The 17,997-nt window shown below is 41.4% G+C and overlaps 1 protein-coding gene, 1 long non-coding RNA gene, 1 other non-coding gene and 1 pseudogene across 3 annotated transcripts in view, besides 1 other annotated feature; 1 reads left to right on the plus strand and 3 right to left on the minus strand.

The window, feature by feature from the left end:
* The window catches only part of SH3TC2 (SH3 domain and tetratricopeptide repeats 2), an 80,913-nt gene extending 69,057 nt beyond the window's left edge, over positions 1-11,856 (minus strand). The window contains exons 1-2 of the mRNA NM_024577.4: positions 11,765-11,856; positions 936-1,034 (exon numbers count right to left, since the gene is read on the minus strand). Coding sequence (NP_078853.2) covers positions 936-1,034; positions 11,765-11,816 — 151 coding nt within the window. The 5' untranslated portion in view covers positions 11,817-11,856. The remainder of the gene's footprint in view (positions 1-935; positions 1,035-11,764) is intronic.
* On the minus strand, positions 6,349-6,452 carry RNU6-732P (RNA, U6 small nuclear 732, pseudogene; annotated as a pseudogene).
* Positions 11,107-11,203, minus strand: MIR584 (microRNA 584). The gene has a single exon (NR_030310.1). It is a non-coding gene; the product is annotated as a microRNA 584 (primary transcript).
* Positions 11,820-12,114: a silencer, noted in NCBI's record as "tiled region #10809; K562 Repressive non-DNase unmatched - State 8:EnhW". NCBI's record gives its function as "represses a minimal TATA promoter and a strong SV40 promoter by Sharpr-MPRA in K562 cells {active_cell/tissue: K562}" and the evidence as "EXISTENCE:reporter gene assay evidence [ECO:0000049][PMID:27701403]".
* SH3TC2-DT (SH3TC2 divergent transcript) overlaps positions 12,111-17,997 on the plus strand; it is a 46,471-nt gene continuing 40,584 nt past the window's right edge. The window contains exons 1-2 of the long non-coding RNA NR_122044.1: positions 12,111-12,468; positions 13,044-13,152. This is a non-coding gene — a long non-coding RNA (SH3TC2 divergent transcript). The remainder of the gene's footprint in view (positions 12,469-13,043; positions 13,153-17,997) is intronic.

Consider the following 17,997-nt stretch of genomic DNA (forward strand, 5'->3'; position numbering starts at 1 on the left):
GGATTTTGTGAGAGATGTGTATTAAGAATAAGATTTGTTTCACATTAATTTCAAAACTTTTTCTGCTTCTGAAAGATTCGTACAGATGCCCTTCTGCTCAAGCCAATCTCACTTCACATATTCATTTAGTTATTCACTTATTTAACAAATATTTACGCAGAACCTACTACATATAAAGTACTATGTTGGGTATCATATAGTATGTAAAAGTGACCTCCACATATTCATTCAACCATTCATGTATTCATTTATTTATTTATTTTGAGGCAGGGTCTCACTCTGTTACCCAGGCTGGAGTGCAATGGTGCAATTACAGCTTACTGCAGCCTCGACGTCCCAGGCTCAGGCAGTCCTCCCATCTCAACCTCTCAAGTAGCTGGGACTGCAAGCATATGCCACTGTGTCTGACTAATTTTTTGATTTTTTGTTTAGGGATCAGGTCTCACTCTGTTGCCCAGGCTGGGCCCCAACTCCTGGGCTCAAGTGATCCTCCCATCTCAGCTTCCCAAAGTGCTGGGATTACAGGTGAGAGCCATCACGTGCAGCCCATGTATTTATTCATCAAAGATTTTCTGAGCAGCAACAACGTATGAACAACTCTTTGAGGTACCATGTTGAATATAAATATTTTTAATTACCCCATCTCTCAACACCTTCAAATCTAATTTATGATATACTTTCTTCAACAAAGCAAATAAGTATGGAGCTCCTAATAAGTGCCAGATTGTGAAGAGCTTTGAGTGACAGCTTGAGAAAGTTAAAATTAATTTTGTAGGCAGTGGAGTGCAACAGAAGATTTGTGAGCAAGCAAATAGCATAGTCAAAATCTTTTCATCAAGAGGGAAAGAGGGAGGGGCTCTTTAGATGGGAAAGATAAAGAGGTTATCGCAATACTCAACATGGAAGAATAGGGCTTGTCTTTGGCATTTGGATACCTGGATTAATGTTCTGTGGCAGAAAACATTTTTCCTTGTATTCAGATGAGGCTATACACTCACTCGATACAGTTGGATCCTTGGAAGGAGTTTCTTTACCTGGAGAAGATGAAATAAAAGGTCATCTTAAGAGTGTAAGGAAGTTGAAAGCAAGTTATAAGCAAGGCTGTAGTTTTGGTCAAGTGACAAATTTTTTCCAGGATTAGTGGCATGGAAGAATTCTAATTGTTATCACCATTGCCTTGTAATTATCTAAGCTGTTATCAAAGAACTGTCATACATGCCATCTCAATCCAGCAGCAGCCTGGGTATGCCCATCTTATTAAAAAGCAGATCCCCATTCACATATCGAACTACGTCTCATGGCTTAGAACACTGAAGGTGCTCAATATACATTGAGCCTACACAGGTCATCACAGATCTGACTACAGCAAGGCTTAAGGTTCAATAGGGGCAGATAATGGAAGGGCTGGAGTGGAGACAGACATTGGCATCATTAGGGAGACAATTGGGGTGTGGTTATAATGGCCCTGAAATGTATAATTGTCCCCAGCTGTCCTGTCTGCCCCTTAAATAGGGTCCTGTCAGGCCTGTCTTTCTTCCCAACTCTGAAAAGTTACTGTCTTCACAACGGTAGAAGTGGAGTAAAAAGAAGAAGAAAGAAGATCAAGACACAGGCTAGGGCTGGGGAGGAGGAAACTTTGATAGCAGAAAGTTGAAAAGAAAGAAGATGGTGCACCTATAAAGCATAATGAAGTAGTTACAGAAGGAAATGTCAAAAACATTGCTGTAGAACATGGGTCTCCTTTATGGCATCCCCAAAACACAACAAGGAAACTCAAGTCCTTCACACATTAATTTTAGTTGATGGATTCTGTCCTTTTTTCCATAAAACTGTTCAAGAACTGTACCATGGAGTCAGAATGTGATAAGTATTACCTGGTCCTGAAAAGCAGAGTTAGGGAACCTTGGCTCAACCACTATTTGTGAGTCACTCCTTTAATGTGCTTATAAAATTGTGCATCAGAGCCAAAGAGGCCTACCAAGTTTTGCATACTGGATCTGTGCCTCTAATGATACAGCTCAAGAATGCAACAGGGGTGGAGCAGTCACACTCACTTCTGGTTAATGTTGAACCTAAATTCTCATATTGCTGCTAATAGCCTGTGTCTCCACTCTGTGCCTATGGAGGGGGATTTTGACACCCAAGTTGAGGACCTTCCATTTATTCGCAGTGGGAGCAGTTAGCACTGTTTTGGGTGATGTACATGAAGAATGAAGTGGATTTCAGCTGGAATAGGCAGAAGCAGGGGCCTGTCAGCTCTTCATCCAGTAAATCTTGTTAGCTGTTCAGTGCTGAAAGCTAAGCAGCTTAGCTGGAAACCTGGCAGCAATGAGCTATATAGTTGAACAGGATCATTTTTCAGTTCTGCCCCGAGGAACCAAAAGCAACTGCAGCAAAAAGGCACTGGCTTGGGAATAATGAGAAATGAGAATGAGCACAAATCAAATCTTCCCATACATGAGTTCAATGACCTTGGGCAAGACACTTCACCTGTCCACTTTGTGAGTTTTCACTTTCCCCACTTATAAATGAAGGACTGATCTAAATTAGTGCCTTTGAACCCCAGCTGCCTATTTGAATCATCTAGGTTGCCTTTTAAAAATATTGCTTCATCCCAGCTAAAAAAAAAATTAAAACAATTGGACTCATGAAGATAAAGAGTAGAATGATGGTTACTAGAGGCAGAGAAGGGTGTGTGCGCTAGGGAGAAGTAGGGATGTTAATGGGTACAAAAATGCAGCTAGATAGAATAAATAAGATCTAATGTTTGATAATACAATGGGGTGACTGTAGTCAACAATAATTTATTGTACATTTAAAAATAACTAAAAGAGTATAATTGGATTGCTTGCAACAAAAAGAAAAGATAAATGTTTGAGGCGATGTGATTTACCCTGATGTGATTATTACCCATTGTATACACCTATATCAAAATATCTCATGTATTCCATAAATATATACACCTAATATGTACCCACAAAAATTAAAAATAATAAAGGAATAAAAAGAAAAAATATTGCTTCATCCTTAGAGATTCAGATTTTTGTGGTCCATAGTACAGCCATAGATTTTTTTTAATAATAAGTTCTTCAAATGATTCTAATTTGAGCCAGTGTTGAGAACCATATGTCTAGATTGGTGCTTTTGAAACTTTATTTTACCTATGAATCACCTATGGATATTGATAAAATGCTGATTCTGCTTCAGTATTTGAAAGCTGAGGTTCTGCATTTCTGATGTTTTCACAGGTGATGCTCCTCCTGCTGCTCCCAGGACCACACTTGGAGTAGCAGCCTGCTTCCCTGGGACAAAGTTTGACCGTAGACTACAGCAAACCCACAAACATCTTCTTTATTTTTTTCTGGCCCACACAGTGAATTTTTAGTTTGAACTGCTTGACATCATTTAGAAATTGAAATGTTTCACATAACCCAGATGCTTGAGTTTGTTTTGAAACATGGAAGATCTGTAGCCCAGGAGCCTCATTGTCATATGGCAACAGTCAGCTGGGGCCAAGTGGTTGCTGTCGCTCTGCAGGGCATTTGTTCTCCAGCCACCATGGTGCCCACCCTATTCCATCACTCATTTACACCTGACCCTGGCAAGTTTGTGAGTGTATCCCTGCTGTAGAATTCTCCAAGAAAATACAATAGCCTGACAATGAGGGCTTGTGAGGTGAGCCCACCTTGAAGAAGGGAAGTCAAGGATGGGGACCCTGGCTTGGGGAAAGGGTGCACAGCTTTTTAAGGATTTGTGAGGCTTAGGGCAGAAAATTGCAAGGTTTTGCAAAATGTGATATGTGAACTGTCTGTATCAGAATTTTTTAGATAATTGTTTTTAAAAAGATATCTATGCAAAAAAAAACTTATAGAAAATATAGAAGAATATCTGCATGACTTGATGTTGACAGTGATTTCCTAAACAGGATGGAAAAAGTGCTACCCTCAAAAGGAATAATGGATAAATAGTAATACATTAAAATTAGAAACTTCTATTAATCAAAAGATGCAATTAAGAGACTGAAAAGCAAGTGACAGAGTACAAGAAAATATTGATCATACGTATGTATAGTTATCAAATAATTCAAACATAGAATATATAAGGAATGCCAAAAATCTTTGAGAAATAGGTAGCCAGCCCACCAGAAAAATGGGCAAAAGGCTTGAATAAACTTTTCACCAATGACAATATTCAAACAGCTAATAAATATATGAAAATTGTTTCACCTCATCAGGGAAATGAAAATTAAAACCACAATGGAACACAACTACACAGACTGGCTAAAATGAAAAAAAAAAGACAGATAAAGCCAAGTGTTTGTGAGGATATAGAGCAAGTAGAATACCTAGAATATACTGCAACTAGAATATACTGCAAGTGTGAAGATAAACTGAAGTTCTATCCTTGGAAAGCTGACAGTGTCAATTCAAGCTGAAAATATGCATGCACTAAGACCAAAAGACATCCACTAAAATATTCAGAACAGCACTATTTATAAGAACCCAAACTTGGCTACAATTCAAATGTCAATTTACACTAGAATGGACAAGTAAATGATGTATATATAATATATAATTAAATCTTAACACAGCAAACCGGGCATGGTGGCACATGCCTGCAATCTCAGCTATTTGGGAGGCCGAGTCTAGAGGATCGTTTCAGCCCAGGAGTTCAAGCCCAGCCTGGACAACATAGCAAGACCCATCCCCCAAAAATTAAATAAATAAATAAATCCAATACAACAATGAGAATGAATGAATTGCCACTGTATAAAACAATATCGATGAGTATATTCACTTGTGAAAAGTCACCACACTGTACACATGATTTCATGCACAATTCTATATAAATGGTAAATTTTTTTTAATCCTCTTAAAGCCTTTACTGACCTCAACATTCTTTTTTTTTTAACTTTTATTTTAGGTTTCGGGGTACATGTGAAGGTTTGGTTCTTAGGTAAACTTATATCATGGAGGTTTGTTATACAGATTATTTCATCAGCCAGGTATGAAGCTCAGTACCCAATAGTGATCTTTTCTGCTTCTCTCCCTCCTCCCAACCTCCACCCTCAAGTAGATCCCAGTGTCTGTTGTTTTCCTCTTTGTGTTTATAAGTTCTTATCATTTAGCTCCCACTTATAAGTGAGAACATGTGGCATTTTGTTTTCTGTTCCTGCATTAGTTTGCTAAGAATAATGGCCTCCAGCTCCATCCATGTCTCATGAAAGACATGCTCTCATTCTTTTTTATGGCTGTATAGTATTCTATGGTGTATATGTGTTAATGGTACATTTTTATGAAAAGCTGAATTTTATAATATTCCTGGAGCCCCTCTCTACTTACTCTACCTTGAAATATCTAGGAGTAGAGTTCTGAGGTGTGTGTTTTTAATTAGCACTTTGGGTATTTCTGATGTCTTCTAGAGTGTGAGAATGCTCAAGCCAATTCACCAGAGGCCTCGGATCCCATGAGCCAGAAGGGCACCTCTCTGAGAAACAATAAGGAAGCTGGAAAATTAGAATGCATTCTATAATAGGAAAAACAGCTAATAGTTACACATGGATTGACCGTTTACAGCATTCTTTTACACATGGTGTTATATTTCAACATGAAGAAGTTTGAAAACTTGAGCTGGGCCTTGGAAAAGAACCAGAGATGATTCAAGGCAACAAAAAACTGTCATATAGAATAAATTACCTTCGAAAAAAATGTATGATTTTTATAACTGAAAGAAAATAAACCAAAAGGTCTATGGTAGTTATTGCTGAGTCATTTTAACAATCTTTTTGATACTTTCATCTACTTTCCAAAATTCTAATTTTTCTTTTTTTATAGGCACATTTAAATATTATTTAACTGAAATATTAATTTTTTGAAAAATAAAAGTTTTGTATGTTAAAGACAACACAATCTGCTAATAATACAGGCTGCTGATTAACAATTGTTTTAATATTAATACTTTAATCTACTATTTAAATTCCAGCTTTGTCAATTGCCCCAGTAATATCAGTAATATCCTTTTTATCTTCTTTTCTTCTTCAGTATAGAATGCAGTCTAGGGTCAGTACTACATTTAGTTGTCAAATGTCTTTAGCCTGCTTTCATTGGGAACATTTCCATACGCTTTTTTTATGACTTTTTTTTTCTCTGATGACATTGATATTTTTGAATGATAAAGTCCCTCCTCCATCCTTCTTTTAGTTTTTCTTCAACTTTTATTTTAAGTTCAGGGGTACCTGTGCAGGATATGCAGGTTTATTATATAGGTAAACGTGTGCCCTGGTGATTTGCTGCACAGATCATCCCATCACCTAGGTATTTAGCCCAGCATCCATTCATTATCTATTCAAAAATATGGAACACTTCACAAATTTGCATGTCATCCTTGCACAGGGGCCATGCTAATCTTCTCTGTATCCTTCCGATTTTAGCATACATGCTGCCAAAGCAAGCTCTCTATTTTTCAAATATTCTGTGATCGGTATGCATTTGTTTTCTAACACTGAAGGCAGGTAGAGAAGTGGCTAAGAACAAGTGGCAATCAGACAGTCCTGGACTCAAACCCTGGCTTCTTCATTAGCCATGTGACCCATGTGAACCCAGTCTATGTAGTCTATATGGAGCTGACTCTCTCCCTAGCTCCAAAAGTGAGCACATAATTCAGGCATAATCCAACTGGGTTATGCAGTGCCATGGCCACATGATCAAAGTTAAGCCAATGAGAATTAGTTCTAGGACCCTCATCAGCACACTTAGTGATTTCTTTTCACTGGACTAGAAGCTATGAATATGACAGCCTGGAGCTGTGGCACCCACCACAAGGAGAAAGCCCACCTGACATTGAGTCCAACCCATAAAAACAGAGCTTAGGAAAGATAGCTTTCTGATAACATCATCTGAACACCTTGATTTAGCAATATCTGAAGAAAAAAACCTAGATTTTCAGTTATTAATCAATAAATTGCTTTTGATATAAGCTAGTTTTATTTTTATTATTATTGATCAGAAAAAGTTACTAACCCTCAATTCAGAAAAACACTGAGATTTATTTGTAAACTGCCAAACTGTTTTCCAAAGAGGCTGTAACATTTTGTATTCCCACCAGCAATGTGTGAGAGTTCTAGTTGCTCCACATCCTCACTAACACTTGATGTTATCAGTCTTTTTAATTTGGGCCATTCTAAGTAGGTAGGCCATTTTATCTGATTGTTTCAATGTGCATTTCCCTAATGACTTACGATGTTAATCACTTTTTCACATGCTTATTAGTCATCTACATACTTTTTATATGGAAGTGTCCATTCCAACATTTTGCAATTGTTATTGGGTTATTTATCTTATCATTATTGAGTTGAAAGAGCTTTTTTTTTTTTAATATACTTGTTCTGGATATTACTCCCCAGTTGATGGCTTGCTTTTTGTGTTCTTAGCAGATGTATGTAAGTGGGAGGAAAGCAGGATGGGGTGGGAATGAGCTTTGTACATACATGGGATGCTAGAAGCCAGCCTGCGCATGCTGGGGAGGTGGGTAGTTGTGGGACTAAAATGGATAAGTATGGTAGGTTCAAGATGGCAGAGCACTTTAAGGCAGGCAGGGGTGTTTAGAATGGATACAGTAAGCGATGGTGAGGTGTGAAATATTCTTGAGCATGGCAATGGCATAACAAAAGTGAAAATTCTACTTGGGTAACCTGGGAAGGATAAGGAGAGAAAAGCACAATAGGCAGAGAGACCAGCTGAAGAGGTGCTGTGAAAATCCAGGGAGGTGAGTGTAAGAATGTGGGCTGTGGCCCTGGCAATGAGAAGTGAGGGCATAGAGTGAATGAGGCTATATTTTTAAACAAGAAAAGAGAAGGCATCTTGACATATTGAATATGAGGGATAAACATGGGGAAGAGGCAAGAATTGCAGAAAATGAATGAAGGAAGGGATTTAAAAGATCACCTAGCTCCACTCCCAATTTTACTGTTGAGAAACTAAAGGCCCAGAGAGGAGTCATGATTTTACTGAGATCACACAGCAAATTAACAAAAGCGCCAGAGGCCATCCAAATCAATGGGTAGGAATGGGTAGGGACCTTGCCATTTTCTCTACATTAACCTGACCTCAGAACTCTAAAGTCTCGGGCCTCTGATCAGGGAAACATCTCACAACAACTTGCCGAAAATGAGAATTCACCTTCATTTCTCCTCTCTCAGCCTCTCTTTGCTCCTACCCACCCACCACCATGCTCAACTTTAAAAAGAAGACTAAACAGTAAACATTTATCTGCATGTTTTTTTTTTCCTGTACCCACATTTTCTTTTCTTTTTTGACCTAACAGACCTACCATCAGCAGTTTTTATGATGTAAACCCACTTTCTCCTTGTTGGGACGAATAGCATGTTAGAAGTACAGCTACATCTACCCACATGAATATATCTTAGATGATAATGTTTAGCAAAAAAAAAAAAAAAGTTGCATCATGATATCATTTTGTTTAAGTTTTAAAGTCTGCAAAACAATTCTTTGGAATGATTGTGAGTTCATGAATATGTAGTGAAAGCACATAACCATTGAATTCATGAAAGTTATTAACTACATGGAGAGAGAAGGAGAATGAGATTGGAAAGAGATATCCAGGGGCCCCTAAGTATGTTTATGATGTTTTATTTCTTCAAAAAGTAAGAGAAAGAAAAAGGTAAAGTTCTGAAGATAACATGGCATAATGCAAAAATTTGTTACAGCTAGATGGTGGGCTAACTATTCTAATATCCTCTATTATCAGTAGTTTTAAATGCTTTACAAGTCATTTAAAATTCAAAAGTGAAGCATCATTTACTATTATCAGCATTCACCCTTGATCTCCTGTTATTATACTGATGATTCACATTTATCAAAAAGGTTGAAAGGAAAGTTACAAGCACCAGTGATCAACAGAGGCGAATGTATCTCTTCCACATCTTCTATTTAAGGGCATAAATCTGCCAAATTTCTTCAAACAGGCATTGAAAATAAGGGTGAAGTGCTAGAAGTTTTTTGATCAACAAACTTTGACATGGCTTTCTCTGTGATCCAAAGTGAGCAACTGTAGCTTATTAAGCAATGGCAAGAAACAACTCATAGATAGGGTGGGGAAGTCAGAGATGATAGCAACTGATCAGAACCTATCCTCTCACCATGTGCAGTCCCCCCTGATTAGGGGAGTTCTGTGAGCAGTTGAGAGCCATCCCAGGGAACAGATGCTGCAGGCAGAGTCCACATGTAAGAATGCAGGTGCCTGGAGTAGTCAGAGTCAACGTTCATTATTGTGTCACTCCACACAAACTAGTCTGGCAGCTGTCCAGTGCTCAGTGCTATCAAGAGCCTTCTCCTTTCCTGTGTCCATTAGCCCTGAGGACTCACTGTTTTGGTGTCTGCTGTTAACTCTCACTTAAACAGACACAAGGCAGAAGCACCCCAGGAAACATAAGTACAGACTTCTCCAGACCAGTAAGGAATTAGGAGGAAGTGATGTAGGAGTGGCCCATATTAACTAACGATAAAACAGCCTGTAGTTACTGAAGGGTTATCAAAAGCCAGACCTTGTGCTAAGTCCATGAGAGGAATTATTAAATTTAATCCTCACAAAAGTTCCATGGGATAAGTACCACCATTAGATACAGTTTACAGCCAGGAAAACTGAGGTTCAAAAAACATGAGGGACTTGCCCAAGGTCACACAACTATTAAGTTGCTCCAGGATGGGTCTCATACTTTGTTCCTTTTCTCTAGGATAAATAGGGGAATCTGGAATGGGAATATCCAGATCGACTGGACTTGGACCTACAACACCAATATCAACCTCGCTAGGGAAAGGCCCTGACACATACAGGGAATAATATGGGGGAATGGCATGAAAAGTCTCGAGGGAGATACATAGCAGGCTAACTCTTGGTGAAAAGGTGAATGCGGGGTGCCAGCCAGTAATCAATGGCAAAAAGAAGGTGAAAGAATAAAGTAATTGAATGATAGTGTTATTATGATTTTGACCTTTTTCAATATTTTGTTTGTTTGTTTGTTTGTTTTCAGCTGCGTAACTCTGTTCTACAGGAAATCTTTGGCTGAAGGACGATGTCAACTAGAAGCAGAGCCGCTCTAGGTAGGAATGAGGGAACATGAGCAGAGCTCTCTGAGGCACCTCTACACAGCAGTTTACAACCCTAAAATTGTATATATGATTAAATGGAGGCCCAGGGAGAGCGCGAGTTATACTGGGGTCATCAAAATGGAATTAACAATGGTGAATTTTATTGTGCTCAACTAACTGTGCACCAGACTGTTTCACCATTTCACATGTAGACTTAATCTCCACCACAGCTCTATGAAGAAGACATAATCATGTCATAAAAGCTACAGATAAGGAAACTGAAACACAGAGAAGTTAAATAAGTTGTCGAGGCAAGTAAAAGAACCAAGATAAAATCCAGACACTTTGGCCTCAAAGACCAAGTGAGTAGCCAAGATGACAACTGCATAACTAGAGCTAGAGGAAGTCAGATCTAGAACCCCGATCTCCGACCAGTGGTCCTGCACGTCTCCCTCCATGCTGTTTCTACTCTCATGGGGCACAATGACAATAGGACTTAGGGGGAGGGACTGAAAAGTGTTTACATCTGAGAAATCTGGAGAAGCGAAATTGTTCATAGCTAAAGTCGTGCCTTTTGTGCCAAGGGCATCATTTGGGGGGACACTCCCTGCTGTAGGTGCCAAGGTGCCTAGATCAAGACTTCAAGCAGAGGAAGCAGAATATGGTTGTTTTGGGTTCACTTTAATGACCTCAAGTGCCTTCTACAAGCCCAAGTCATAAGACTAAAGAAGAAAGTTGTCTGTCAGAGAGTAGAAAGCCCTCAGCTAGGGGATGCTCCTTAGCTCCTTCTCTCAGGAACCATGGTGGAGCTCCAGGAAGACACAGAGTTCTAACAAGGGTTAGGAATGATTCCTTGGAGCAATGTTCCCCTATCTCCCAAGCAAGCCTCCCCCCACCAATCTAACCCCACATTTCCCCAAAGCCACCACTCATCCTGATAAACACCACACAAGAGAACACAGGGCCCTACCTTGATTCTCCTCTGAAAAAAAGCAAGAAGGTTGCTTCAGGGAGACCAACCAGCCTGGTTGGCCTGGAACTGACATATCCCAGCAAATTCCTCAGTCCCAGGCAAACCATAATGGCTGGTCACCCTAAGTCACTCTCCCATGAGTTGACAATTTCTTAGAGCAACAACTCTCCATTGCCTCAACTTGATGCACACACTCACACATGCACTCACACACAAATCACTCTGTAATAGGTGGAGGCAGGAAACTGCCTGTTTTTCTCCAGTAACAGCAACCCTGACAAAAATAGGCTTGAATGACTAAGGCCAAGTTTATGGCCACCCATAGGCCACAGAGGAACTCACTGCCTGAACTTTCTTCCTGTCCTGGGGGGATCTCGGGAAGAAAGGAAGGAAGGGCTTAGTCACACCCTGGGAGTGGCAGCCAGGAGCAGTGCTGCTCAGCTCCTGACAGAGTAAACTCAAAGGCTCTTTCTTCAGGAAAAAATAGATGCTTCCAGGCTTTGCTCCCTTTTTACAGAGCCAGCATGACAAACACTTACCCAGGGAGGAAGGAGAGGCAGCCAGAAAGCACAATCATCTCCCCATCTTTGGGAGAAAAGTTTCTCCAACCCAGCAGGTCCCTGAGCCTCTACTGGACCATCCACTTTGGCCAAGCCACAGGCCAAGGGCCCCCTGGGAAACTCACCTGGGCCCCGGGTCAGACTCCGCTCCCTGGGGATGCAGAAGCAGCCACCCATGTGTGTACCATCCTACCCTGGCCGAGGCCCTTGGGAACACAGGCCAGAAGAGTGCTGCAAGGGACAGCCTCCCAACGGTGTCCCTCCTCCCGCCTCCTCCCTGGCACACGAGGGACCGAGGCCTGCTCAATGCACAATGCAGCCTTTGATATCCCGGCTACAGCAGGAGGCCCAGGGAGGGTGGGAGGGGCAGCCCAGCCCAGCCTGCAGGCCCACAGCTCCTGCACTGTCAGGCCTGGGGAACAGGGCTCCTCCCTGCCTCTCAGCAGATCGCTTCATGCCTATCAGCCTGCAGCACATTCCTCGCATTCTAGGATTGAGATACACAGTTTGGTTCTTGTGAGGGCAGCCAGGGCTGGGGAGGAGGGCAGAGAACATCCCAGAGATCAAGACTGCTCTTCTTGCTCCCTCCCCGACTGACTTGGCCCACACTGACTGGCCTGCCACCCCTTTACAGTGATCTCCACCCAGTCTCTCTCTGCAAAGGCCTCCCTTGGCTCTCTGATAAAGTTGGAGCTGTGGGTGCAGCATTTCACTTGGACCTAGCAGCATCAATGAGCCAGCTCCTCACTGGGGAACATGCAAACCCCCAGCTGCTGGTGTGCAGGAAAAGAATCCAGGAGATCACCTGATGAAGCCCAGCATTTTACAGGTGAGGGGATGGAGAACCAAATACATCAAAGGATGGGGAGAGGTTGGTCAATAGGTAAAAGGTTAGAGTTACATAGGAGGAGTAAGTTCTAGTGTTCTATTGCACAGTAGGGGGACTACAGTTAATAACGTATTGTATATTTCAACATAGAAGAGAGGATTTTGAATGTTCTCACCACAAAAAAACAATGATGTTTGAGATGATGGATATGATAATTACCTTGATTTGTTCATTACACAATACATAGATATATTGAAACATCACATTCTAGCCCATAAATGTGTAGAATTATTATGTGTCAATTAAAAATAAAACTAAAAGAAAAAATACAGCAAGTCTACAGGTATGCAAGCAAAACTGGTCCCACAAGACTAACCTCTTTCCTGTTTCAGATAGGCAGTGGAGCAGGGGAATCCAGTTGACACTGTGGCTAAATTTCAGAAAACCTCCCATGAGATCTTGCAAAGGAGATGGAGAAAATATGGCTGAATGCCAGCAAGGTAGGACGGAAGCATGACTGCTCTAACAACCAAGCTCAAAGAGCACTGCTCACCCAATGTTTCCTTCATGACTAGAGCAAAGTGGTGAAAGGACCCTGGTGAGAGGCCCAAAGAACAGGAGGTGTGAGCCAAGAGAAGGTCCTGCCAGGCCTATGTTGCAGGCTATTTGGAGGCTGAACTTGAGGTCAGTATCACCAGCATTTTTAGGACGGCAGTGGCCTGATCAAGTTTATATTCTGAGAGGAGCACTTGGGTGACCAGGTGAAGAATGGCCTAGGGGTCAGTCCCACCAGAGATCAGGAGTATCCACCTCACACACCAGCCTAGCCCCAGAGGACAGGGTCTTGAGCCTGTCTCTGAAGCACTGCTCCCGTCTCCATCCTGACTCATCCTGAGACACAGTTACTGAATGTTTACTGTGGGCCAGGCTCTCACTGTACATTATTCTATTCAAATCCCATAACAGCCCCATAATGTAGGCATCATTTCTACTTTGTAAGTGAGGAAACGGATAAAGAGGAGTGTATAACTTGTCCAACTCCCTCCCTTCTCCCACCATTTATGAATGTCAGAGTCAAGACTGAGCAAGGTCTAGTTGATTCCACAGCCCAGAAGAATCACGTTTCTGATACATGGGATACATTGTGGGTTCTCCCATGACTACTAGGACACACAATGAGAAAGGCCTAGGAAGGACTGAAACCTCTGGAGCCAGCTAACCATTTACACAAAGCCCAGGAGATGAGAGCTGGGGCAGGGAGTAGAGCGCAGGAGGGATGGGGTCTCTCTGATCACATTGCCACCGGGGAGGATGTTTTCTCTGTGCAGGTCTATTTAAAGTATCTACTTCCCATACGTTTCTCATGTGTTTCCCTTACTGAAGTACAGTGTTTTTGAATATGAATTCAAATGTTTTCTTGGGCCCACAATGAAAGGACAAGAGTTTCTTTAGAAAACAGCCACTTAAAACTGGGATGTACTTGAAAGTCAGGCAGTGACAAGAAGCCCCATGCTCTAACTTACACACGCTGACAGATGCGCAGACTTATCATTGCTCCTTGGCTGGTCTGCACACCAACCACTCTTACACAGGTACAACAACAATCAGACTATAAATGATCAAAATCAACTATTGAAAGGATCCCAGGCCATGTGTCAGAGATGACACCCTAGGCAGTTGGCTAACACACACATTGCAGCAGGTCTTAAATGAATAGTCCATTCTGGATAAAGTCATTGCTTCCCTTGAGATGCAAGAAACTGTGCTGTTCTGCTCCTGGGTAGCCTGATGAATTGACTAGAGCAAAGAGACTTCCAGCAGGAGCAAAGGCCCTGAAGTAGGAACTTGCTTAGCATGTTAAAGGAAGTGTGGCTGAAGGCTAGTGAGGTAGGTGAGGGCACAGAGATGAAGTCAGAGAAAGCAGCAGGAGACCAAACAGTGTAGGGCCTTAGAGGTCATCTAAGGACTCCAGTTTTTACTCTGAATGAGGTAAGAGCCAATGGAGGACACTAAAGAGAAGAGTAACATGCATGACTTACGGTTTTAAAGGGTCAGCCTGGCTCATGGGCTATAGATGGAACTCCAGATATGCAGCAATTGTAACATCCAGCAGAGAGATGATAATGTCTTGAACCAAAGTGCTATTGGTAGAGGTGATGAAAAGGGTTTAGGTATTAGACACATTTTGAAATAAGGGTGTATTAGTCAAGGTACTCCAGAGAAACAGGACCAATAAAAGTTGAGAAAAAAAAAAATTAACAAATTGGCTCCTGTGAGGGTTGGCAAATCTGAAATCCATAGGGCAGGCCAGCAGTCTGGAGACTCAAGTAAGAGTTGCTATTGCAGTCTTTAGTCAAAATTCCACAGAGCAGCAGACTAGAGACTCATATAAGTTTCCCATGTTGCAGTCAAGAATTCTTGAGAAGAATTTCTTCTTTTTCAGGAAACTTCAGTCTTCAGTCTTAAGGCCTTCAACTGATTGGAAGGCCCCCAGTCAGCTAGTGGGAAGACCCATGCACATTAGAGAGGGTAATCTGCTTTGTTCACTGTCTACTGATGTCAATGTTAATTATCTTTAAAAAAAAATACCTTCAACATCTATTTTGTTCTTTGGTCAAACAACTGGCCACCATAACCTAGCCAAGAGAACACATGAAATTAACCATCACAGAGACCCATGAGGATGTGTTGATACATTGAATGTATGAGAGGAAAAAAAAAAATCTACTTTAGAGTAGTTCTGATTTTTTTTATCTGAACAACTGAAATAATTTAATAATTATTGAAATGTTAAATGCTAGGAGAAAAGAAGCTTTGTGAATTGAAACCAGGAGTTTGGTTTTGTATATGTAATATTTAATAGTCCTTTAGTATATCCAAGCAAATGTAGACAAAGCAATCTGGAGTTCATGGAGAAGTTAAAAGCTGAAGGTAAGTATTTGGGAGTTGTCACTGTGTAGAGGGTATGTAAAGTTAGAAGACCAAGCAAGATCTCTTAAGGCAGAAAGTGGAGGATAGAATACAGAGGATATATCAAGAATGAGCCCTACAAGCACATTAATTTTTATATGAATAAGAAAGGAGTAGAAACCAGCAAAAGCGATAGAGAAATAGTGGCCAGTGAGACGATATGCACCAAGAGCATAAGATGGTACAGAATTCAAGTGAAGAAAGTGTTTCAAGAGCAGAAGGTGATTAACTATGTCAAATGCTGCTAATAAGTAAGATGTGCACAGAGAATTTACCACTGGACATCTTGGTGGAGCAGTGGAGATAAAAGCTAGATTGAGAAAGCTTCAAGAGTATACGGTAAAAAAAAAAAAAAAGTGGAGCTCCAACCCACCTTCAACTCACCACCATCACCATCATTGCCATCATTATGGAATACCTGTTATTCCCTTAATATTTGTTTGGTGTTCAGGGGTTACAAGCTCATATGGCTACAAGAGCCACGCAGCTGATAGAAATGAGTGAACTGGCCAGGAGATAAGTGGCAGCTGATCCCACTGTAATTGCCTAATGGATTCTTTCTGCCTGCTGCACAGACAAAACCAGTTCACTGAGACTGGTATTGCAGCAGAGAAAACCTTTCATTAATGTGAGGCCAGCCATGCAGAACAACCAGGGTTATCACTCCAGTCAATCTCCCTGAAGACTCAGAGTTTAGGGTTTTTCAAGGATAGTTTGGTGGGCAGGCAGGGAGGGGTTGGGTGCTGCTGATTGGTTGGGGGTGCAATCATAGGAATGTGGAAAATAGTCCTCATGCACTGAGTTTGTTTCTAGATGGGAAACACAGGACAGGTGAAGTCATGAGTAATGAGTCTGGGTGGGCTCAGTCAGTTGCCAGAATGTAAAAGTCTGAAAGACATCTCAAAAGACCAATTTTAGGTTCTACAATAGTGGTGTTACCTACAGAAGCAATTGGGGAAGTCACAAATCTTGTGACCTCTGACCACATGACTCCTGAACAATAAGGGATTATAGAAACTATATCTACATTTTAGCAGAATTCAGGTCCCTCCCATAATCTTAATCTTATGGCTTTTCATTAGCCTTACAAAGGCAGTTTCAGCCCCCAAACAACAAGGGAATTCGTTTTAGAGAGGGACTGTTATCATCCTTGCTTCAAAGTTAGACTACAAACTAAGTTCCTCCCATGGTTAGCTTGGCCTACACCTAGGGATGAGCAAAGACAGCCAGCCTGTGAGGCTAGAAGCAAGATGAAATCAGTCACATTAAACTCCTCTCACTGTCATAATCTTTGCAAAAGAAGTTTCACTGGTGTCAAGGTTGGGGCAACAACAGGGAGAGGTGTACCTGTGGGGCATGGAGGGCACTGCTCTGTCTAAGAAGAAGCCCCTGCTAGGCTTTGGGCATTGAGGAACATGGTGCAAGACAGGCCTGTGCAACCACACATTCTCTTTTGTCATGGAAACCAAAAATCCAGATTTGTAAGTGAAGCTTCCTAACGTTTAAATGTTTATAAGCTATAGGAGGCTAAGGCAGGAGAATTACTTGAGGCTAGGAGTCCAAGACCAGCCTGGGCAACATATAAATACCCTATCTCTAAGAAAATGCTAAAAATAAATAAATAAATATTTATAAATTATTTCAAAAAATCTTTCAGAGCACTATGTGGTCCAATACCTCAGGACAGACAAACTTGCCTGCAGACCAAATCCAACCCAAGAGCCACCCACCAGTATGCCATTTCAGACATAAAATTGAACCTTTTTCTTAGAAAAATTGTAATCTAGTTGGAGCAATCATAACTTAGGTACTATAATTCCAGGGAAAAACTGAAAAGATCCCATTATCAGTTGAATTGTGTCCCCCTGAAAAAGATAGGTTGAAGTCCTCACCCTCTGAATCTGACTTTATTCAGAAATAGGCTTGTTGTAGATATAATTATTTAAGACAAGGTTATACTAGAGGAGGGTAGGTCCCTAATCCAATATGATCTTATAAAAATGTCCTTATAAAAAAACAACCTGTGGGCCAGGCGTGGTAGCTCACGCCTGTAATCCCAGCACTTTGGGAGGCCAAGGCAGGTGGATCACAAGATCAGGGGATCGAGACCATCCTGGCTAACATGGCGAAACTCTGCCTCTACTAAAAATACAAAAAAAATTAGCCGGGCGTGGTGGCCTGTAGTCCCAGCTACGCGGGAGGCTGAGGCAGGAGAATGGCGTGAACCCGGGAGGCAGAGCTTGCAGTGAGCCAAGATCGCGCCACGGCAATCCAGCCTCCGTGACAGCGCAAGACTCCATCTCAAAAAAAAAAAAAAACCTGTGAATAGACAAGGACACACAAGGAGCGCTCCATGTGACAATGAAGGCAGAGATTGGAGTTACGTAGCCACAAACCAAAGAATACCAAGCATTGCCTGCAAACCACCAGAAACTAGAAAAAGACAAGGAAAGATTCCCCCTACAGGTTTCAGGGGGAGTACAGCCATGCTGATGCCTTGATTTTGGACTTCTAGTTTCCAGAACTGTAAGACAATCCATTTCTATTGTTTCAACCCAG

Source organism: Homo sapiens, chromosome 5 (assembly GCF_000001405.40).
Source record: "Homo sapiens chromosome 5, GRCh38.p14 Primary Assembly".
Lineage (NCBI taxonomy): Eukaryota > Metazoa > Chordata > Mammalia > Primates > Hominidae > Homo > Homo sapiens.